At 37.4% G+C, this 24,656-nt stretch overlaps 2 annotated features.

The window, feature by feature from the left end:
- Positions 711-1,636: an enhancer, noted in NCBI's record as "OCT4-NANOG hESC enhancer chr7:119234686-119235611 (GRCh37/hg19 assembly coordinates)". NCBI's record gives its function as "activates a minimal SCP1, AML or CMV promoter by ChIP-STARR-seq in naive and primed H9 embryonic stem cells {active_cell/tissue: H9 hESC(naive and primed)}" and the evidence as "EXISTENCE:reporter gene assay evidence [ECO:0000049][PMID:30033119]".
- Positions 8,716-9,313: an enhancer, noted in NCBI's record as "NANOG-H3K27ac-H3K4me1 hESC enhancer chr7:119227009-119227606 (GRCh37/hg19 assembly coordinates)". NCBI's record gives its function as "activates a minimal SCP1, AML or CMV promoter by ChIP-STARR-seq in naive H9 embryonic stem cells {active_cell/tissue: H9 hESC(naive)}" and the evidence as "EXISTENCE:reporter gene assay evidence [ECO:0000049][PMID:30033119]".

The raw sequence follows: 24,656 nt of genomic DNA, 5'->3' as shown, positions 1-24,656 counted from the left end.
TTGAAATCAGGGAGCTGTATTTTATTATGTCATCTCCCACCATCATGCTTCTCTTACAGACAAAAAAACAAAAAAAGCAATGACAAATCATTTAAAGGATTCTGGAGCTCCCTTTACCAAAACATTTCTTAGTGTCTTGAACAGGGTGTGTCTTCCTGATCTTCTAAGGAATATAATGAGGTGGTATCTGAGTGGTTGCACATAATACGTTAATCTTAATAGAAACATCACTGAAAACTTTAAGACATCTGCAGTGCGTCTAGAAAATTACAGCACTTCTATCTCATTTACTGTAGACCACATTTAAGTCTAGGAATTAATCTATGACACCAACACATTGTTAATTCTATTTTCTGAAGCTCAAGAAAGCATGCTAACTACAGATTTTGTGTGTGTGTGGGGGGGGCACCATAATGTACATTTGACTAGGAAAAAAATCCTCTTTTATCTAATATAGTTAGACTGCACTTCTACAACATGTACCCTATAGTTGCTGAAAAGATCTACCACTCAGTTAGTACATATAGGAGATTGCCTCCTTGTACCTCTTCCTCTTTGTTATGATAGGACCTAACTCTTATTATGGGATCAGAGGCAAGGGGAAATAGAGAGAAAAGTTACAAATATAGCTGGCTTTCTCTAGTGAAGAAACTGTACGAGGTAATGTAAAATTTTGCAATTTTGTTACAAATTACAACAGGTAATATAAAATTTTGACCTCCCCTAGAGGATATGTAGAATGGGTAAAGAGAAGGCTGCTATTCCTGGCAGAAAAAGCAAAAAAGCGCAGGAGAACTTGAGAGGTCAGAGTCATCTGCCTAATCTCTGTCTACCCAAATATATTCAACCCATGTTTCGAGTTTCACATTTCTCAAGCTTAGCATAAGGGTTCTGGAGTGGTTTAACATTTAACTTAACTGGCACTATAACACTGTGACCCTTACCATTAGGCCTGTGATACGGTTTGGATGTTCATTCCCTCCAAATCTCATGTTGAAATGTGACTCCCAATGTCATAGGTAGGACCCAGTGGGAGGTGACTAGATAATGGGGACAGATCTCTCATGAATAGCTAAACACCATCCTCCTGGTGATAAGTGATTTCCTGCTGTTAGTTCACACAAGATCCTTTTGTTTAAAAGAATCTGGGGCTTCTCCTTTCTCTCTCGCTTACTTCTCCTCTTGCCATGTGAATTGCCTCCTCCTGATTTGCCTTCTGCCATGAGTAAAGCTTCCCAAGACCTCACCAGAAGCCGCGCAGGTGTCAGCACCATGCTTTCTGTACAGCCTGCAGAACCATAAGCCTATTAAAACTTTTTTTTGGTAAATTATCCATCTTTGGGTATTTTTTTATAGCAATGCAGGAATGGCCTAATACAGTGTTTGCTTGATGATTTAGCCACAGCTTCTTTGTAGAACCATTCACTGCTGTCAAAAGCCTACGATTTTTTTTCACCTGTGCCCAGAGATGTCCATTCAAGTTATCCATTAATTTCATGTTACATGTGTTCTCCCCAGAGACATTAAACAATCATGGCACAATCAGTGTTATCATCACTACTGTGATGATGACTGACTGCTCAAGCACTTGGTCTCTCAATGCCTTGAACTCTACCAGAGTGGCATCCCATGTTACCACAAGTGATGATGTAAGTAATTGTGAACTACCACTCAAGCCATTAATAAAGTGTCTCCTTTCCTTTTTTCAAGGAATGAGTAACTCGATTTTTAAATTTCATTTTGAAAATCTATTTCTTCATGTCACTATTACAATTAATATTTTTTCAGTCTGGTCCTGATGTAAAACAGATGACACACACAAAAATAAAATTATTAAAGAAAATTTAATAAAATAATTTTAACTATATTTATTAAAGAGATTTAAGAAAAGCAACAACAATGACAAAAACTTCAAAGCGAAAGGAAATCCCAAAAAGATGCTGAAGCACCACTGGCCTAGAAATAGTGGAAAGCTGTTACCAATCCTTAGGCTTGCAAAAGCAAAGACAAGGAGTGGTTACAAGAATCCAGAAATAATTGTAGATGTCATAGTAGATGGCAGGGCAGAAGATGTGACCTTAGTAAAGACAGAGTACTACTAACAGTCTGACGTCCAAAAGAGGGCACGATGAAAATAAATGCCCCAACTTCTTCTTCTTATTCTGGTCTCCTTCTAATACCTTTTATAAGCTTTTCTAAACTGTGAGCTAGTAGGCAAAACAGCAAAGTTGAAGCAAACCACGGATGTCAGGCTTCCGGTTCTCATGACAGAATGTAGAAAGGTGAAAGGGTGATATGGAATCTCCAGCACACTGCCTAATTAATATGAAAAAGTCTTTCTACCCTCAAATTTAAAGAGCCTGTTTTTCCAGCTGAAAGTGCCAGTGCACATTGGCCTAGTCTTCAGTGTGTTTTGTGGTAGAATTTAGTTGTTTCCCCATATGATAGTTTCATTTTGAGCAATATCTCATCTAAGTCAGCTTTCTCTTGCTCCCTATGTAGAACCTTTATGTCTGAAAACTAATAAACATAATTTCTGTTCCATCAGAGCATATCTCTGTATTCTCTTAATCTTGATAATGAACTCTATCGCTCTGTCTAGACAAGGCAGTGCATAGGCAGAAAGTAGGGGCAGACAGCTTAGTTAGGGTCCCAGGAACCTGGCATGTTCTGCTGCACCGAAAACCAAAGTTTTTGTGCCAACTCTTCATTTTCCAAGTTCTGGATACTAAGTTTTATTTAAGTGACTTTTAAAAATCTGTTTAACAAATGTAAGTATGCTTTCCCATTCACCCACATACTTGAACTTCACTTGCATATTTTTTTCTATGGATACATTCATTATGTCTAGAAATACAAGCCCCTAACCACTGATTAAAAAAACATGCTGAGTTCACCAAATTACCAGAAAATGCCTATAAATAGACAAGAGTGTGTGCCTCCCACACACTGGACACCCTTGAACCTTGGTAAGACGCCCAGCCAGATTCCTCATTATTTTACTTTATGAAGATGTTCTTTAACTAAACTATTTCTTTTTTTTTTTTCAAATTATGAATTAATGATTTATTGCCTTGTTGGTTTCAAAGATAATCAATTGTCGATTAAGGCTAGATCTTGGCCAGGTAGGTGACTTTTGAGGTCTCTCATGGAATGGCTTTTAAAAATTAATAGCTTTAAGGCAGCTGTAGACATAGCCTTCTTAGGTCTTCCCAGCAGAGACAGAGGCTTCAAATGCGGGGAGATTATGGCAGGAGAAGAGGTGGCTCCGTCTTCCTTGTGTCTGTGGCTGGGTGGGAGATCCTGCTGGGCAGGGAGCCCGTGGTCGCAAACCTGCAGTTGACACTCTCCAGGCCACTCTCAGCAGAGAACATAGGATCTGGCACATAGAAGGCACTCAAAGCAACTGAGCATTCAAAGATGAGTTCATTTACCTCTATGGTTTAATCAAGGCATGGCCATGTCCTTTAAAAATAAACAAATCAAGCATATAGATACAATTTAACAATCGCCTGATTTGAGTCTTTTTTCTTTTTCTTTTTTTATTATACTTTAAGTTTTAGGGTACATGTGCACATTGTGCAGGTTAGTTACATATGTATACATGTGCCATGCTGGTGCGCTGCACCCACTAACTCGTCATCTAGCATTAGGTATATCTCCCGATGCTATCCCTCCCCCCTCCCCCCACCCCACAACAGTCCCCAGAGTATGATATTCCCCTTCCTGTGTCCATGTGATCTGATTGTTCAATTCCCACCTATGAGTGAGAATATGCGGTGTTTGGTTTTTGTTCTTGCGATAGTTTACTGAGAATGATGATTTCCAATTTCCTCCATGTCCCTACAAAGGACATGAACTCATCCTTTTTTATGGCTGCATAGTATTCCATGGTGTATATGTGCCACATTTTCTTAATCCAGTCTATCATTGTTGGACATTTGGGTTGGTTCCAAGTCTTTACTATTGTGAGTAATGCCGCAATAAACATAACGTGTGCATGTGTCTTTATAGCAGCATGATTTATAGTCCTTTGGGTATATACCCAGTAATGGGATGGCTGGGTCAAATGGTATTTCCAGGTCTAGATCCCTGAGGAATCGCCACACTGACTTCCACAATGGTGGAACTAGTTTACAGTCCCACCAACAGTGTAAAAGTCTTCCTATTTCTCCACATCCTCTCCAGCACCTGTTGTTTCCTGACTTTTTAATGATTGCCATTCTAACTGGTGTGAGATGGTATCTCATTGTGGTTTTGATTTGCATTTCTCTGATGGCCAGTGATGGTGAGCATTTTTTCATGTGTTTTTTGGCTGCATAAATGTCTTCTTTTGAGAAGTGTCTGTTCATGTCCTTCGCCCACTTTTTGATGGGGTTGTTTGTTTTTTTCTTGTAAATTTGTTTGAGTTAATTGTAGATTCCGGATATTAGCCCTTTGTCAGATGAGTAGGTTGCGAAAATTTTCTCCCATTTTGTAGGTTGCCTGTTCACTCTGATGGTAGTTTCTTTTGCTGTGCAGAAGCTCTTTAGTTTAATTAGATCCCATTTGTCAATTTTGGCTTTTGTTGCCATTGCTTTTGGTGTTTTAGACATGAAGTCCTTGCCCATGCCTATGTCCTGAATGGTAATGCCTAGGTTTTCTTCTAGGGTTTTTATGGTTTTAGGTCTAACGTTTAAGTCTTTAATCCATCTTGAATTGATTTTTGTATAAGGTGTAAGGAAGGGATCCAGTTTCGGCTTTCTACATATGGCTAGCCAGTTTTCCCAGCACCATTTATTAAATAGGGAATCCTTTCCCCATTGCTTGTTTTTCTCAGGTTTGTCAAAGATCAGATAGTTGTAGATATGTGGCGTTATTTCTGAGGGCTCTGTTCTGTTCCATTGATCTATATCTCTGTTTTGGTACCAGTACCATGCTGTTTTGGTTACTGTAGCCTTGTAGTATAGTTTGAAGTCAGGTAGTGTGATGCCTCCAGCTTTGTTCTTTTGGCTTAGGATTGACATGGCGATGCAGGCTCTTTTTTGGTTCCATATGAACTTTAAAGTAGTTTTTTCCAATTCTGTGAAGAAAGTCATTGGTAGCTTGATGGGGATGGCATTGAATCTGTAAATTACCTTGGGCAGTATGGCCATTTTCACAATATTGATTCTTCCTACCCATGAGCATGGAATGTTCTTCCATTTGTTTGTATCCTCTTTTATTTCCTTGAGCAGTGGTTTGTAGTTCTCCTTGAAGAGGTCCTTCACATCCCTTGTAAGTTGGATTCCTAGGTATTTTATTCTCTTTGAAGCAATTATGAATGGGAGTTCACTCATGATTTGGCTCTCTGTTTGTCTGTTGTTGGTGTATAAGAATGCTTCTGATTTTTGCACGTTGATTTTGTATCCTGAGAGTTTGCTGAAGTTGCTTATCAGCTTAAGGAGATTTTGGGCTGAGACAATGGGGTTTTCTAGGTATACAATCATGTCGTCTGCAAACTGGGACAATTTGACTTCCTCTTTTCCTAATTGAATACCCTTTATTTCCTTCTCCTGCCTAATTGCCCTGGCCAGAATTTCCAACACTATGTTGAATAGGAGTGGTGAGAGAGGGCATCCCTGTCTTGTGCCAGTTTTCAAAGGGAATGCTTCCAGTTTTTGCCCATTCTGTATGATATTGGCTGTGGGTTTGTCATAGATAGCTCTTATTATTTTGAAATACGTCCCATCAATACCTAATTTATTGAGAGTTTTTAGCATGAAGGGTTGTTGAACTTTGTCAAAGGCTTTTTCTGCATCTATTGAGATAATCATGTGGTTTTTGTCTTTGGTTGTGTTTATATGCTGGATTACATTTATTTATTTGCGTATATTGAACCAGCCTTGCATCCCAGGGATGAAGCCCACTTGATCATGGTGGATAAGCTTTTTGATGTGCTGCTGGATTCGTTTTGCCAGTATTTTATTGAGGATTTTTGCATCAATGTTCATCAAGGATATTGGTCTAAAATTCTCTTTTTTTGTTGTGTCTCTGCCTGGCTTTGGTATCAGAATGATGCTGGCCTCATAAAATGAGTTAGGGAGGATTCCCTCTTTTTCTATTGATTGGAATAGTTTCAGAAGGAATGGTACCAGTTCCTCTTGTACCTCTGGTAGAATTCGGCTGTGAATCCATCTGGTCCTGGACTCTTTTTGGTTGGTAAGCTATTGATTATTGCCACAATTTCAGCTCCTGTTATTGGTCTATTCAGAGATTCAACTTCTTCCTGGTTTAGTCTTGGGAGAGTGTATGTGTCCAGGAATTTATCCATTTCTTCTAGATTTTCTAGTTTATTTGCGTAGAGGTGTTTGTAGTATTCTTTGATGGTAGTTTGTGTTTCTGTGGGATCGGTGGTGACATCCCCTTTATCATTTTTTATCGCGTCTATTTGATTCTTCTCTCTTTTTTTCTTTATTAGTCTTGCTAGCGGTCTATCAATTTTGTTGATCCTTTCAAAAAACCAGCTCCTGGATTCATTAATTTTTTGAAAGATTTTTTGTGTCTCTATTTCCTTCAGTTCTGCTCTGATTTTAGTTATTTCTTGCCTTCTGCTAGCTTTTGAATGTGTTTGCTCTTGCTTTTCTAGTTCTTTTAATTGTGACGTTAGGGTGTCAATTTTGGATCTTTCCTGCTTTCTCTTGTGGGCATTTAGTGCTATAAATTTCCCTCTACACACTGCTTTGAATGTCTCCCAGAGATTCTGGTATGTTGTGTCTTTGTTCTCGTTGGTTTCAAAGAACATCTTTATTTCTGCCTTCATTTCGTTATGTACCCAGTAGTCATTCAGGAGCAGGTTGTTCAGTTTCCATGTAGTTGAGCGGTTTTGAGTGAGATTCTTAATCCTGAGTTCTAGTTTGATTGCACTGTGGTCTGAGAGATAGTTTGTTATAATTTCTGTTCTTTTACATTTGCTGAGGAGAGCTTTACTTCCCAGTATGTGGTCAATTTTGGAATAGGTGTGGTGTGGTGCTGAAAAAAATGTATATTCTTTTGATTTGGGGTGGAGAGTTCTGTAGATGTCTATTAGGTCTGCTTGGTGCAGAGCTGAGTTCAATTCCTGGGTATCCTTGTTGACTTTCTGTCTCGTTGATCTGTCTAATGTTGACAGTGGGGTGTTAAAGTCTCCCATTATTAATGTGTGGGAGTCTAAGTCTCTTTGTATGTCACTCAGGACTTGCTTTATGAATCTTGGTGCTCCTGTATTGGGTGCATATATATTTAGGATAGTTAGCTCTTCTTGTTGAATTGATCCCTTTACCATTATGTAATGGCCTTCTTTGTCTCTTTTGATCTTTGTTGGTTTAAAGTCTGTTTTATCAGAGACTAGGATTGCAACCCCTGCCTTTTTTTGTTTTCCATTGGCTTGGTAGATCTTCCTCCATCCTTTTATTTTGAGCCTATGTGTGTCTCTGCACGTGAGATGCGTTTCCTGAATACAGCACACTGATGGGTCTTGACTCTTTATCCAATTTGCCAGTCTGTGTCTTTTAATTGGAGCATTTAGTCCATTTACGTTTAAAGTTAATATTGTCATATGTGAATTTGATCCTGTCATTATGATGTTAGCTGGTGATTTTGCTCATTAGTTGATGCAGTTTCTTCCTAGTCTCGATGGTCTTTACATTTCGGCATGATTTTGCAGTGGTTGGTACCGGTTGTTCCTTTCCATGTTTAGTGCTTCCTTCAGGAGCTCTTTTAGGGCAGGTCTGGTGGTGACAAAATCTCTCAGCATTTGCTTGTCTGTAAAGTATTTTATTTCTCCTTCACTTATGAAGCTTAGTTTGGCTGGATATGAAATTCTGGGTTGCAAATTCTTTTCTTTAAGAATGTTGAATATTGGCCCCCACTCTCTTCTGGCTTGTAGGGTTCTGCCGAGAGATCCGCTGTTAGTCTGATGGGCTTCCCTTTGAGGGTAACCCGACCTTTCTCTCTGGCTTCCCTTAACATTTTTTCCTTCATTTCAATTTTGGTGAATCTGACAATTATGTGTCTTGGAGTTGCTCTTCTCGAGGAATATCTTTGTGGCGTTCTCTGTATTTCCTGAATCTGAACGTTGGCCTGCCTTGCTAGATTGGGGAAGTTCTCCTGCATAATATCCTGCAGAGTGTTTTCCAACTTGGTTCCATTCTCCCCATCACTTTCACGTACACCAATCAGATGCAGATTTGGTCTTTTCGCATAGTCCCATATTTCTTGGAGGCTTTGCTCATTTCTTTTTATTCTTTTTTCTCTAAACTTCCCTTCTCGCTTCATTTCATTCATTTCATCTTCCATCGCTGATACCCTTTCTTCCAGTTGATCGCATCGGCTCCTGAGGCTTCTGCATTCTTCACGTAGTTCTCGAGCCTTGGTTTTCAGCTCCATCAGCTCCTTTAAGCACTTCTCTGTATTGGTTATTCTAGTTATACATTCTTCTAAATTTTTTTCGAAGTTTTCAACTTCTTTGCCTTTGGTTTGAATGTCCTCCTGTAGCTCAGAGTAATTGGATCGTCTGAAGCCTTCTTCTCTCAGCTCGCCAAAGTCATTCTCCATCCAGCTTTGTTCCGTTGCTGGTGAGGAACTGCGTTCCTTTGGAGGAGGAGAGGCGCTCTGCTTTTTAGAGTTTCCAGTTTTTCTGTTCTGTTTTTTCCCCATCTTTGTTGTTTTATCTACTTTTGGTCTTTGATGATGGTGATGTACAGATGGGTTTTTGGTGAGGATGTCCTTTCTGTTTGTTAGTTTTCCTTCTAACAGAGAGGACCCTGAGCTGCAGGTCTGTTGGAGTACCCTGCTGTGTGAGGTGTCAGTGTGCCCCTGCTGGGGGGTGCCTCCTAGTTAGGCTGCTCAGGGGTCAGGGGTCAGGGACCCACTTGAGGAGGCAGTCTGCCTGTTCTCAGATCTCCAGCTACGTGCTGGGAGAACCACTGCTCTCTTCAAAGCTGTCAGACAGGGACATTTAAGTCTGCAGAGGTTACTGCTGTCTTTTTGTTTGTGTGTGCCCTGCCCCCAGAGGTGGAGCCTACAGAGGCAGGCAGGCCTCCTTGAGCTGTGGTGGGCTCCACCCAGTTGGAGCTTCCCGGCTGCTTTGTTTACCTAAGCAAGCCTGGGCAATGGCGGGCACCCCTCCCCCAGCCTGGCTGCCACCTTGCAGTTTGATCTCAGACTGCTGTGCTAGCAATCAGTGAGACTCTGTGGGCGTAGGACCCTCCGAGCCAGGTGCGGGATATAATCTCGTGGTGCGCCGTTTTTTAAGCCCGTCGGAAAAGCGCAGTATTCGGGTGGGAGTGACCCTATTTTCCAGGTGCCGTCCGTCACCCCTTTCTTTGACTCAGGGAACTCCCTGACCCCTTGTGCTTCCCAAGTGAGGCAATGCCTCGCCCTGCTTCGGCTCGCGCACGGTGCGCGCACCCACTGACCTGCGCCCACTGTCTGGCACTCCCTAGTGAGATGAACCCAGTACCTCAGGTGGAAATGCAGAAATCACCCGTCTTCTGCGTCGCTCACGCTGGGAGCTGTAGACCGGAGCTGTTCCTATTCGGCCATCTTGGCTCCTCCCTCTAACTAAACTATTTCTAAAGTGAAAAAAGAGAGATAGTTAAGATTTTAGTTGTATACTGCTATAAGAATTTTAATTTAGTAGAATCTGAAAGTATCTCATCATGGGATTAAGTAAGATAATAGACATTAATTTTTCACCTGGACTGGGATGTATAAGATAAGGTAAAATGCATGAGAAAGATTAAATATAGGGTGCATATATTTTTAAAAAACAAATTATATATCTAATTTATATGCATATGCACAAGTAAAATTATTTTAAAGTTTATCAACAATCTAAAATAAAATCAAAAATAATAAAAATAAAATGAATACAATGAATTCATGGGGCTTATAATATATATAGATCTCAAAGATAAGAGAACAGGAGTATAAATGATGTGAAGAAGATAAGTGAAATTTTAGTTTTTGCTCAAAGGTTCTTATATCACTACAAAGTAATATAATATTATTTGAAAACAGACTATGATAAATTAAACATGCATATATTATTCACCACAGCAACCACTAAAACTTTCTGAAAGAAGTATGAGAAAATATTTTTTTAAAAAATCAAGAGAGAGTTGAAAACATTATAAAGTGAAAAAAATAGAAAACAAATACCTAGATGTTAGACTCATCTTTCTATAACAGTATTTATATGAAATATACATTAACTAAATTCTACCACTAAAAGGCAGTAATTGTCTATTTGGATAACAAAGCAAGCACTAAATATATCTACAAGTGACACATTTTAATTCAATAAATCAATAAATAATAGACATTGATTATAAAAGACTAGAACATATATATATGTATAAAACATGAAAACACTAAGCATATTAAGGTAGGTTTATGTTTTTTAATATAAAACTAATATATTTCAGTACAAGAAATATTACCAAGATAAATAGGGCCTTCATATTGCAATTCATTGAGAAGACATACTAATCTTAAATATGTGTGCACCTAATAAAGAGTTTCAAACTATATAAAACAGAATAGACTAAGAAGAGTAATAAGCAAATTCATGGAATAGTTGGAGATCATAACTCTCATCTTACAGTAATTGATAGAACAATAAAATTAAAAAGTGCAAACAGATGGGATATGAATAACACTGTGAAAATATTTACCTCACAGAGACTTATAGAATACTACATACTAAAATGAACATATTCAAAACTTTTAGATGTGCCCATGAAGTATTCATCTAGACAGACCATATGCTGAATCATAAAATAAGTCTCAATAAATTTTAAAGGACCAATATCATACAGATCATGCTCTTTGGCCACAATAAAATTAAATTGGGAAATAAAAATAATCTCAATATATTTTGAAATTAAGCAATTCACTTATTAATATGTGATTCATATTTTAAATGACAAGAAAAAAATAGGAAATGTTGTAATATAAATGAAATAAAAGCAGCACATGGACATTATTGAATTTATTTAATGATGTCCTAAAGCCTCAAATGCCCATTTTAAGGGAAAAAATGTAAAATCCATGATTTTAACTTTCATCTAATGAAAGTATAAAATGAAGAGCAAATTAATCCACAAGTAAATAGAAGTAAATGAAAAGTAAACAGAAGTAACAAAAGGAAATAAGAATGAAAATCATGTAATAAATAAAACCAGTAGAGATGACACGATATTTGTCCTTCTACACCTGACTTATTTCACTTGGCATAATGTTCTTAGCTTCTTTTAGTCTTTGCCTCAAGATCTGTTTTGTAGAGAACCTGGATGTGAGAGACATAAAAGATGCAAAATCCAAATTACCTTTCAGAATGAACTTGTTCAGCTATTAATAGTGCTAACAGCAGAAAGCTCTCCCGCTGTTTCCTTTAGAGTCAGCCTCAGTTTCAATGAGTGACCTTGCCTAAAGTCACGCAGGACATCCTATGTTCAGTGACTAAATGGTCGACAGGTATAAAACCAGCTATTTTGGCTCACACAGAGAAGACTCTGATGGATAGTATTTACTCAAGTGCTCCACCAAGTTAATGGGTATCTGTTGCAACTAAATTCCAGATAAACTTCCTCCTTTATCTAATCCTTCCCACCCTCTTCCTTTCATTAATGTTTTTTAAATTTACGGTCCAATTGCCTTCTCTTTTATAGAAATTCCCCCAAATTTCAGATCAACTATGGATTCTATTTCTTATTTTCTATCATTCTTATGAATTTATTTATTATTGTACTTTATTAATGGATTTGTTGCAAATGGAATTTTGAAGAGAGTGGAGAGAGGATTGTGTACTCAATCATCTCTTTGACCTAACATTCCTCTTTTAAAATTGCATATATTTTATAGTAATTATTTTATTCTTTCTCACTATAAAACTGAGAATGCAAATAGATTATTAAGTCTACATAATTGAATTTATACAAATGTAAACATTCAGTGGAACAGCAAGGTATGACATCTAATTTGATAGAAAAAAACATAGCAATTTATTTTGATACTTTGAGATATATTACTTTTTAATTTTCTTACAGTGTTTAAATTTGTAGAATGTCCTTTCAGAGCACCTTTTCCCTCTAGTTGAAAGTTTAAATCCAATCTAATTATTCTTATATTTTCTTTTTAGTTTAGGCTTCAAGACATTGACCATGGTTTCTTGATGCTAATTACATTTAACATCAACATTAAAACGAGTATAAAAAGGGCTCTGAGTCCACCGTTTCTTTGTTAGGCAACCTTGCATGTAATAGCTTTGAAAATAGAGGGAACTAAAATCTAATAGCAATAAACATTGCCCCTTTGGAAATCCTGTTATGAGGAAGGTCTAGTCATAACTTCATTTTATCTTCACTTGTTTCAAAAATCCTTTAAAATTAAATTCTGTGTTCAGTAAACCAAAATGTCTCCTTGGTACATTTTAAAACACATTTCCTAGTGTGTTTATCTTCCCTAAAAGCCACTCAGCTGAAGTCATTAAACACATCATCGCCATTACCACCAGGGTCGTTTCTTGTGCTTCAGGCTTTGTTGGTTCATTACCAAGCAATTGCTGGACCTATAAGATGGATTTATTTTTGATAGTATTCCATCCTTTCTAAACACTCGTATGGGAATCATGTAAATACCACCTTATTGTAAGAGTCTCATTAAATTATGTGGTTTACTTGTAGTTTATTAAATTAATAAATATAGACAATCTGAATAATGTCTTTATTTTGATGAATAAGGACAGTGTCAAAAGGAAAAATAGTACTAGCTCGTAATGTGTTGTAATCAGTCAAAAAACTCAAGGAAAAAGTTTCATTTTAGCTCTTACTGTGGATGCACCTAATTCTTATAAATTAATTTTCTAAAGATATTTAGTCCTCAGCCTGAAATATTTGCTTATTTACCATTTTGGTTTTGATGCCAATTTTGAGGTAAAGGGAAATATATATCGCTTTCAGATTCATGGACTCATTCAATGGTTAAAAAAAAAGTGATATCAAAATAATCTGTCTTTAAAATTGGTTATATTAAAACAATTCATTCACATAATTGTGAGCTTTTAAAAATTTTAGGTTTTACTCAATAGATTTTTGAGACATGAGTTTTGAGAAATGAATTATATCATTTTATTTCTTTGGAACTCAATTTTAGTCATTATTATTATGATAAACAATTTTATATTCACCTATCCAACCCAGGCTTAAGAAATTAAATAGTTCAATGCAACTTAGAGATCAAAAAGTAAAACCACAGTCATAGTTATTGCTTCATGGGCAGTTTAATTTCCTTCAGTAACAGTTTTCATCAAGGAAATAAGAATAAATTAGTTGTTCCAAAGAGGAAGTGAAAAGCTCAATAAAGCTCAGAGAAGACTTGAACAAAGGTGTTCGGAAGGAGCCTAGGGCCTAAAAATGAAAGTCTGAGAGAATCACATTAAGCGATAGGTGGAATGGCTCTTGACTGGTGCCTACTACCAATATTCCATCTGCATTTCATCTTGCTAAATTGTAGATCTATGGAAAAATTTGATAACGTAAAAATTTTCAACCTTCCCTGGAGAATATACTAATTTCTAGATTTTATGTCTATATTGTTTTTGTTATTAATTCATAAATCAAATAAAGGTGGAAAAAGAAGAAAAACTTCAGCTTTATAAAAGATATCAGAGAAGAAAGACTACAAAAAGATTTCCTTGCTATTTCCCTGTTTTTAGCTTTAAACTAAGCAGTATTAAGGGCAGCAATCATGTCATATTTGAATTATAAAAAGGTGATGCAAATTTCTTGTTAATAAAATTTTTCTTTTATTAAAATACCTGGTCATATATAACTGAGCATCATGTCAAATTACTTTATTTTATTATCTGGAAATGAGAGCCAGAGATAATGTACAGCAACAATGAAACAATTAAAGTTTAACACAATTATAATAGAAAAATCACAGCAAGTGATTGTATGTTTGTGTGTGTGCGTCTGTGTGTGTGTGTATGTGTGTATGTACCACAGAAATAAACTGATATTATAGATTCTGAAAGAAAATTACTGCCTTTCAAAATATTTTAATTAAAAATAGACTTAATGATTTATTGTTGTTAATGAAATAGCAAGTGGTGGCTGCATTTGATCAGTCTGCTATGAGTAGTCAGCAGTGATAATGAATACAAATATGAATTAGCTCAATATAACCATTTAAAATATATGTGTATTTCAAGACATCATGTTGTACATGATAAACATAGCAATTTTTGTAAATTAAAATTTCATTCATTAAAAATAAATAAGTCAATAGTTTTTTAATTCATTGTCATCTGTCTTAAATATAACAGTTAAAATAAAAAATGCATGAACTTAATGTGAGTATCCTCTATCAGATTGATTGACCACTATAAATTTCAAAAAGTCAATAATTAGTTTCCTCTTCTACAGTGAAGCACCTATGGTATTTGTGTTAACTGGCTGTCAGTTAAAAAGTTAGAAAAGGGGCCGGGTGCGGTGGCTCACGCCTGTAATCCCAGCACTTTGGGAGGCCGAGGCGGGTGGATCACGAGGTCAGGAGATCGAGACCATCCTGGCTAACACGGTGAAACCCCGTCTCTACTAAAAATACAAAAAATTAGCCGGGCGTGGTGGCGGGCGTCTGTGGTCGCAGCTACTCGGGAGGCTGAGGCAGGAGAATGACGTGAACCTGGGAGGCGGAACATGCAGTGAACCAAGATCGTGCCACTGCACTCCAGCCTGGGCAACAGAGCAAGACTCTGTTTCAAAAAAAAAAAGAAAAAAGGAACGACATATTTAAATAAATTATTTTGTGTTGACCATATTACTAGGTGGTTAGATATAATACATTATTTTCATAGAAAATCTCAGAGGTAGAAAATTATCTTTTTACCTCTTTTTATGCCTCATAGATATAAATCTAACACAACACATACAGGATATATATGAGAAAAGATATAAACACTGAGAAAAAAAGAACTAAATAAATTGAGAGATTCCATATTTATGAATTAAGATGATTCAATATTATTAAAGATGTTAGTTCTTCTCATCTTGATCTACAGATTCAATACAATTCCAATGAAAATACCAGCAAGTTATTTTGCAGATATTGATTAACAAATTCTAAAATTTTTATGAAAGGGGAAAGGGTTTAATACAACACAGGAATTATTAAAAAAAGTTACAAGACTCAAACTACTCTATTCTAAGACTAATAGGATGCTACAATAATCAAGATATTATTGTATGGAGGAAATAATTGGCATAAATAAATAGAACAGAATGGAGAACTCAAAAATTGATCCACAAAAATATGGTCAACTGATTTTTGACAAAGGCAGAAAGGAAGTTATTGCTACCCAAGTGTCATTACTTTTAGACTACCAGTAGAAAGAATAAGACAAGCATGTGTGTATACTAACCTGTGCACATATCTATATTTGTAATATTTCTTCAAGAAATGATGCCAGAATACTTGGACATCATATGCAAAAAAGTAGTAATAACATAGGCACACATTTTATATCTTACATAAAAATTCTTGATATGGATCATAGTTTTTATTTTTTTCTTTTATATTTTAGGATTTTAAAACTAACCTATAATTATACATATTTATGGAACACATAGTGATGTTTACATATAATGTACAGTGATCAGATTAGTTGTGATTAGAATATCCATCATCTCTAGCATTTTTTATTTATTTTGTTTTGGGAGCATCTAATATCCTCATTCTAGCTATTTGGAGAAATTTATTATTGTTAACTATAGTCATCCTTCAGTGGTATAGAATACTAGAACTTACTTTTCCTATCTAGCTGTAATTTTGTATCCTTTAACCAATCTCTCACTATTCCTCCCTCTCCCTAAACTTCCCAGCCTTTAGTAAACTCTGCTCTACTTTTTACTTCTATGAGATCAACTTTTGTTTGCTTCCACAAATGAGTGAGAACATATAGTGTTTGGCTTTCTTTTCCTGGCTCATTTCACTTAACATCATATCTTTCAGTTTCGTTCATGTTGCCATGAATGACAGGATTTCATTCTTTTTTATAATTAAATAGTATTCCATTGTGTATATATGCTCCCTTTTTTCTTTTATTCATTCATATGTTGTTGGACACCTAGGTTGATTTCATATATTGCTATTGTAAATAGTAATGCATTAAACATGAGGGCACAGATGTCTCTTTGATAAATTGATTTCCTTTCCTTTAGATAAATGCCCTTTATAAAATACAAATCTATAAAATATGTAAAATTAAACAAAGAAGAAAGTCTATGTGGCCCTAGGTTTGGTGAGGGGTCTTTGGGCACAGTAACAAAATCACAATTCACAAAAAAATCAATAATTTGGACTATATTAAAATTTAAAATTTTTGCTCTGTGAAAAACATTGTTAAGAGAATTAAAAGACAGTCGCCACCAGGAGAAACATTTGAACATCTGGAAATAATATGCAATACAAAGGATTTATATCCAAAATATACAATGGACTCTTAAAATGCAACAGTGTATATTTTTTAAATGCACCAACGACCTGAGCAAACAAAAGCAAAGGAGATATATGGGTGGCAAATAAGCATATAGAAAGATATTCAACATAATTTGGCTTCTAGGAAGCACAGTTTCAAACAACAATGAGTTAATCATTAAACATTAAGTGTGATAAAATACAAAAATAAACTTCACAATATCAATTGCTAGTGAGGATGCAAAGCAACAGGAAAACATAGTTCTTCTATAAGATACAATATTCAGTGATCAGATTACTCATTCCACATGTATAATGCGAGAATAATGAATGGGGCAACGTGTTAAGAGTGTTTAGAGAAAATTCATCCTAGGAATGTGGAAGACTTACTCTATCATAAACCCCTGCACTCCAGCCCTAACATTTAGCAATTCACACATGCTTAAAATAATTAAGAATATATTTAATACTAAAATCACAGTTCTTATAAAACCATATTGAAATACATATACTTAATTTGAATATTTGATAGGACATTACACCTAGGATAGTATATACATTTTTATTGCATTCAAATGTAACAGTTTAAAACTGTATCCATTTATTGTCTGATACTTTTCCTCCTAGCACTCCTATTCCTCCTAGGCCCTCCCATAACAGCTTTCTGATTTCTGAAGGGGTAAGGGGACCAGGGAGGCTTCCCATTTGCTTTAAAGAATAGAGGAGTTGGGTGCCTGGCAGCGATTAGGGCCCCTACAGTGCATATCTTCTTTATTCAGATGAACTACTCAGAACCAACTACTTCCAGAGGATTTTTTTTCATTAAAACAAAGGCATACAACTGAAAATAGGAACCCAGTTCTAGTTTAAGCCATCTTATACAAAAAAAGACATTGACATTAATTATTCCTGCAGCTCAATCATAAGGATATAGAAAGTATAACTCAGCTCTCTCTGTCCTCTTTTCTTTTAGAAATTTGGTACATATAGGAAAGACCCATTCTAGTCAACACTAAGTTTAATGGGGCTAGACCCTCACATGGACAGCCTAGTCATTGACCAGTGGTTCCTACGTTTGTGTAGGGCAGTTCATCTAATGTGGGGGTTCATCATTAGGCCTATTTGTGTTGCACATCTAACTTTCATCTTCTAAATCAGCACTTTTAGTGATGGATTTGGTCCCAGTTTACACTCCTCTGCCATTCTCAACTTATTCCAAACCAAGGTGGGAAACACAGGGATGATATTAATCAGGACTCCCTCAAGACTCAGCTGCAGACTGGAGAAAACTCATTTATATGTATTTATTTATACTTTTATTGTATTTTATTTTAGTTCGCTTGTTCTTTGGAAATTAAGTTCTGATGTTGAATGCCATGCATTGTGTTTTGTGATAGCTCAAACAATAGAAAATAATCTATGGCCAACTTTGTTCCAGCAGGCATTTTGCCAGTGCCTGTCCAGATACAAGGAGGACTCTCTCCTCCCCAGCCTTCATGTCATCTCCTAGTTACAGAACCAGGGAGGAAAAGACAGCCAACTTGTTGAGCTTCTTCTCTGCTCCATATAACGGGAGACTAGGGACACTGAGATTTTATCTTTAAGGGCACAATTAAAACAATAAATATCCTGTCTGATATTCTGGGGCTTTAACTGCTGCATTTTATTCACACTGGAAAGGGGAAAAATGCCTGTGCTTGCTGACCTTATTAAATTCCAGCAAACTTTGAAGGCTCACTCACACACTCCATGTCTAGCTCATTGACCTGCTGGGGTCAGAAGCTGCTTGTCTTGAAAGATGAAGATAAGTTGGATTTAAAAAAGAGAAGAAGATAAAAAATACTTGAGATGCTGTCTTCACCAAATCCTGTACTTATTTCCTCTGCAGTCCATCTACTTTAAAAACAAATCAAATTAATTTTCTCCTGTAAAACTTGATGATAATCGTAGCTGTAATTTTCATGAAAGTGGAAGGTGCTAAGGAATGTGGGGTGGTGGTGAGAGTGTAACTACTTAAATACCTTGGAAGCCCCAATTCAGAACATAATGCATTTTACTTTCTCTCATTTCAATCAAGTAATTATAAACAGATATTTAAGATTCTGTAGATAGGATGACTATTTGCATAAATATTCTCATTTTATCCTTGAATACATCAATTAGTACTTGCTAATTGTGTTTAGCTCGTGATTTATGTCCCCACCCAAATCTCATGTCAAATTGGAGGAGGGACCTGGTGGGAGTGATTGGATCATGGAGGTTTGTTTCCCCCTTGCTGTTCTTGAGATAGTGAGTTCTCATGAGATCTGATGGTTTAAAAGTGTGTGGCATTTCCCCCCTCGCTCACTCTCTCTGTCTCCTGCCACTATGTTAAGAAAGTCCTTGCTTCCACATCCCCTTCTGCCATATAAGTTTCCTGATGCCTCTCAGCCATTCTTCCTGTTAAGCCTGTGGAACTGAGTGCACATTGTATCTTAAGTGTCATTGTTTGAGTGATAAATTAGTTACCACCCTAAATATAGAAAAAGTTTCTCATTTCTTTCTTAACAATTACAGAGAGAAATAATTATAGTCATAGAAAATTGTTTTCTTTATAATTAACCTATAGCTAAAACATCCTAAATATATTTATAATTATTACATTCTAGTACAGCAAAGTTATAATCTTACAAAAACTTCAGTGTATGACATATTATTTGGACTTCTCAGTATATAACAAATAAGTAGTGTTTAAAATGTACATATTCAAAATCCATTTATTATATTTCATATTAAGTTTCTGGTTTTTTTTTCACAAGCACCAAGTGTTTTGGTATTTTTACAGACTTATCTTGCAATAATTGTTTTGATTCTTAGCAAGTCATTGCTTGGCAGATTGCACATCTTTCCTACTCTCACAATAAAGCTAAGAAAAATGTCTCATTATTATTCTCATTTTACAGGTTTATAGTTATAAGTAAGAAAGATTCATTAGCTTTTCCAAAGACACTCAACCAGTGAAAGAGAATCTACTTTGAAGCTATGATCTGTGTACTGGGGCACTGAACTCTGAAGCACCAACCTTTATAGACTTGCGCCTTCTAACATATCTGCCTATGTTGGCATGCAAAAACCTTTATATCAGACTATCCCCACTCCATTCTATGGAGACCACTCATTAGCTCATGCCCTAGAAGACTGCCTTCATTTATTAATTACCTTACAAAATTTCAATATCTCTATCTGTCTAATCCAGCACCTAACCTCAATACTGTTCTGAGAGCTTTCCCTGATGAATCCCCACTGTTTACATCATTTTGGACTCTCCCAACTATACCCTATGGAACCCCTTCTATGCTCAATGACTTGACTGAAGTCCTTTCCCATTCTTGGACATAATTAATATTTGATCCCTCATCTATATACCTCTACTTCCCTTGTCATTGTTATTGAACAGTTTCTATAGATATTTCTCTCTGTACAGAAGTACATTGTCTCCTTAGGCATGGTATTCCTCTCCCAAGTCACATGAGGACATGGGATATTTTGTGGAATACTATATTAAGTTTTAAAAATGTAGTTTAACATAGATTTGAACAGTCCCAGGAAACATAGTGTTCTCTCCCTCTTCCATTTTTGCTCTCCTCAATATTTATGGTTTTTTTAATAGCCCTATAGACCAACTTTTTCTGCTTATTAATTCATATATAATAAAACAAGACTTTATGACAGTTATTGAGTTTTACATTTCTATCATTCCAAAACTGGAATGAATGTTATTTTTCCAATTCTTATTGAAGGCACTTTAGTGCAGGCTGAGTGAATATTCTGTTTTATGGTAATCAACTGTGTAGAGAGTAATGATTTATTATTGTACAAATGAAGTCATCTGGAAGTGCGTTATATATGGGGATAAGACAATCTCTGTGTTTACTTGGGAAAGACACCTCACTAGCTACTTGGCACTTAATGAGCGCTGGACAATTATCAGACTTTGATTTCATTCTTCTACACTGTCTTCCTAATTCTCAGGGGAGGATCTCACTTCTGTATCACTGAAGATACCTACACGATTAGGTGAGAGTTGCCATAAATCTCTCCCCACTGGAATTAAAAACTCATTTCCAATTGTTGCCATTCTATTAGTTTTCTATTATTGTATAACACGTTATCATGAATTTAGACGCTTGAAATGACACTCCCTTAGTGGTATCGCAGTGTCTACAGAAGTTCAGCACAGCATGGTTGGATTCTCTGCTCCAGATTTGAAAATTTGAAATCTACAATAAGAGTCACAATACACTGGTGAAAGGAATAAGAGACAACACAAACAACTGATAAAACATTCTGTGCTCATGGATAGGAAGAAGTAATATTGTTAAAATGGCCATACTGCCCAAAGCAATTTACATAGTAAATGCCATTCCTAGCAAACTACCAACTACATTTTTAACATAATTAGAAAAAAATACTCTAAAACTCATATGAATCAAAAATAAAAATAAAAAGCCTGAATTGCCAAACAATCCTAAGCAAAAAGAAAAATGCCAGAGGCATCACGTTATTCAACTTCAAAATATTCTACAAGGCCACAGTACCGAAAACCACATAGTGCTGGTACAAAAACAGACAGACAAACAGAACAGGTTAGAGAACCCAGAAGCAAAGCTGCTCACCTACAACCCTCTTATCTTTGACAAGGTCAACAAAAACAGGCAATAACAGAAGGACTCCCTGTTCAATAAATGACACTGGGACAACTGGCTTGTAATATGCAGAAGATTGAAACTGGACCCTTCTTTTCACAATATAGAAAAATCAATTCAAGATGGATTACAGACTTCAATGTAAAACATAAAACTATAAAAATACTTGAAGAAAATCTAGGAAATACCATTCTGGACATAAGTCCTGGCAAAGATTTGATGACAAAGACTGCAAAGGCAATTGCAACAAAAAGCAAAAAAAAAAAAATTTGAAAACTGTGAATCCAACCAAGGTCTAATATCAATAATCTAGAAGGAACTTAAACAAGTTAAAAAGCAAAAACCAAATAACTCTATCAAAAAGTGGGCAAAGGACAGCAATAGACAGTTCTGAAAAGAAGACATACACATGGCCAACAAGCATATGAAAATGTGCTTAACATCACTAATTATTAGATAAATACCAATCAAAATCACAATGAGACACCATCTCATGCTAGTTAGAATGGCTAATATTAAAACGTTAAAAAATAACAGGTGCTAGTGAGATTGTGGAGAAAAGAGAATGCTTACACACTGCTAGTGAGAACATAAATTATTTCAGCCACTGTGGAAAGCAGTGTGATAATTTCTCATAAAACTTAAGATAGAGCTACCATTTGACCCAGTGATCCCATAATTGGGTATATACCCAAAAGAGTCTAAATCATTTTACAATAAAGACACATGCATATGTTCATCACAGCAGTGTACACAATTATCTGAGTGTTATTATTATCTGGGTGATGAAATAATCTGTACACCAAACCCCTTTGGCACACAACTTACCTATGTAACAAACCTGCACACCTGTCCCTGAAACTAAAATAAAATTTGGAAAGAAAAAAAAATACTAGAATCAAGATGTCATCTAGGACTAGTCTCTTATTTGTGCTTTGGGTTCCTTTTCTGCAGTCACTAGTTATTAGTCAAAGATATGAAATCAACCTAAATGCCCATCAACAGTAGACTGGATAAAGAAAATGTGGTAGATATATACCATGGAATACTACACAGCCATTGAAAAGAACAGGATCGTGCCTTTTGCAGCAACATAGATGGAGCTGGAGACCATTAGCCTAAGTGAACTAATGCAGGAACAGAAAACCAAATATTGTACATTCTTACTTACAAGTGGGAGCTAAACATTGAGTACACATGAATACAAGAAAGGGACTATAGACACAAGGAATTACTTCAGGGTGGTAGAGGGTGGAAATGTTAAGGGATTTTTTGGGGTGTCACTTTTCTGGCAGGAATCTGTGGCTGGTGGTGCCAAAGGTAGAGTTGTGCTTGGGCTTGGTGGGCTCATTCCCCTCACTTGGCCTGGCAGGCTGCATTTGGCTCATGCTACAACCCTGGATCCCATGCCTGCAAGGGAGATTGGAGTCAGGCATGGAGTGGCAATGGGTGTGTGAGCAAGTGTGGGGTCCAGCCTCTGCATGCTGCTATGGGGTGGGCAGCTCCAGGTTCCAGTTCTATTTTAAGGTCCAGCATAGGTGCCAGCTCCCTGGAAGGCTGTGGCTTGAAAGGTGCATCCCAAAGTGCCTCCCCAGCTGGCACTAGTGGATGTGGTGGCACTGGGAAGCTTGGAGGTGCCAGGAATCACAGGGCCGCAAAGAGGCAGTCACAGCCCTGGCTAAGGGAGTTTCCAGGTCTGGATTCCCCGAAAGGCCACAGCTCTTCTCTTTTTCTCTTTGCCCACAACATGGTGAGCAATAAGCATGTTTCAGCCTTGTTTGTGTTACGGCAGCTCTTGCAGCCTCACCATTCAGTAGGTCATGAGTTCTTGTCCTACAACCAGGAAAAATGAAGTATACAGAGAAGTGGAGGGTGAGCAAGACAAAGAGGGGATTTACTGAGCAAGAGAACAGCTCAGAGAAGACCTGCAGTGGGCAGCATCTCTCCATAGCCAGGGTCTCTCAATGAGTGTTCAGCTCCTAGCAGAGAGGGTACCCCCTCTCTGCAGCTGTTTGTCCTATCATCTGCAGCTCTGGGGAGAGATGGTAGCTCTGCTTGCAGCTGGTTTCCCCATTGTCTTTGCTCTGGCTGATCCTGGGGCATTTATGTGCCTCAGAGGAGAGGAAATACATGGTAATTGGTGCACAGACATCCATAGGTGAGCACAGGAAAGTACCACAAGTTCCCACTCCAGTCCACGAGACCGGCAGCTTGGCCCTCAGCCTTCAGCCCTGTCCTTTCCTCAAGGTGGGGACTCACCAGGGACCCAACCCTCCTGCCCAGGAGCCTGGCTATCTCCTGTCGCCATCCATGGCACCCAGGCTGCTCACATCAAGGGGCACCTGAAGGCCAGCACTGAGCCACTCTCAGCCGCCCCCATCAGCTTCCCGCCATACTTCACAGATCCCAAAGTCTGGAGGGGACCAAGGTTGCAGGGCCTGAGCATGTGCACACCCTGCCAGGCTGTGACAGTGCCTGGGCTCAGCCCCAAGCCTGCTCCAGAGCAGGCACTAGGAGCAGGGAGAGGCCAGGAAGCAGGCACCTCCAAGTCTGCAAGGGCAAGGGGGTGACTTCCTGGGCCCCCAAGAGTGCAGGGATTCCTAGTTCCACAATCCTAGTTTTGGCAGCTGCAGCTGTGCCTGGGAGGGTGGAGCTCCTGCCTGCTCTGTGGAGTGGGAGGCCCAGGTCAGCAGCCACGTTTTGGGCAGCTGCGGTGGCACATGGAGAGCTCCCACCCTAGCTCAGACAGGGCGAGGCTCCAACTTATCCCTGGCTGCTGTCAGTACCACTGAGGGTGCAGCCCCAGCCAGGCCTCCCTGCTGCTGCTGGCATGATGACAGTGGCCACTCCAGATGGCCCACTGCTGCCATCAGGAGGAGGGTGAAAATCAGAAAGCTACCTACTGAGTACTATGTTATTATTATCGGGGTGATGAAATAATCTGTACACCAAACCCCTTTGGCACACAATTTACCTATGTAACAAACCTGCACACCTATCCCTGAAACTAAAATAAAATTTGGAAATAAAAATAAATACTGCAATCAAGATGTCAGCTAGGACTAGACTCTTATTTGTGCTTTGGGTTCCTTTTCTGCAGTCACTAGTTATTAGTCAAATTTATTCCCTTTGCAAGTTTTCCACATGGTCACTCCATGTCATTTTGATACTTAAAATATCTCTTATTTCCTTTTCTGCCACATCTGACTGATGTCTTCCTTTCAGGGCTTGAGTAATTACATTGGCATCTACTTCATAATCCAGGATAATCTTCTATTTTAAGGTCAGCTAATTAGTAACTTTAGTTGTGTATTCAATGTTTCTTTTGCCAAATGTAACCATGGGAGTGACGCTGAGGTTGAAATTCAGGGGCAAAAATTCTGCATAAATATCAAAATATGAAAATATGTACTCAAAATTAAAAACAAAGTTTGAGGTTTCTAATTGATGTTATGAATTGAGCATAACACCAACATCAAATTTGACAAAAAT

Source organism: Homo sapiens, chromosome 7 (assembly GCF_000001405.40).
Source record: "Homo sapiens chromosome 7, GRCh38.p14 Primary Assembly".
NCBI classification, from domain to species: Eukaryota; Metazoa; Chordata; class Mammalia; order Primates; family Hominidae; genus Homo; species Homo sapiens.
Note: the sequence above shows the minus strand (reverse complement) of the source record. Positions and strands in the feature narration are given on the sequence as shown.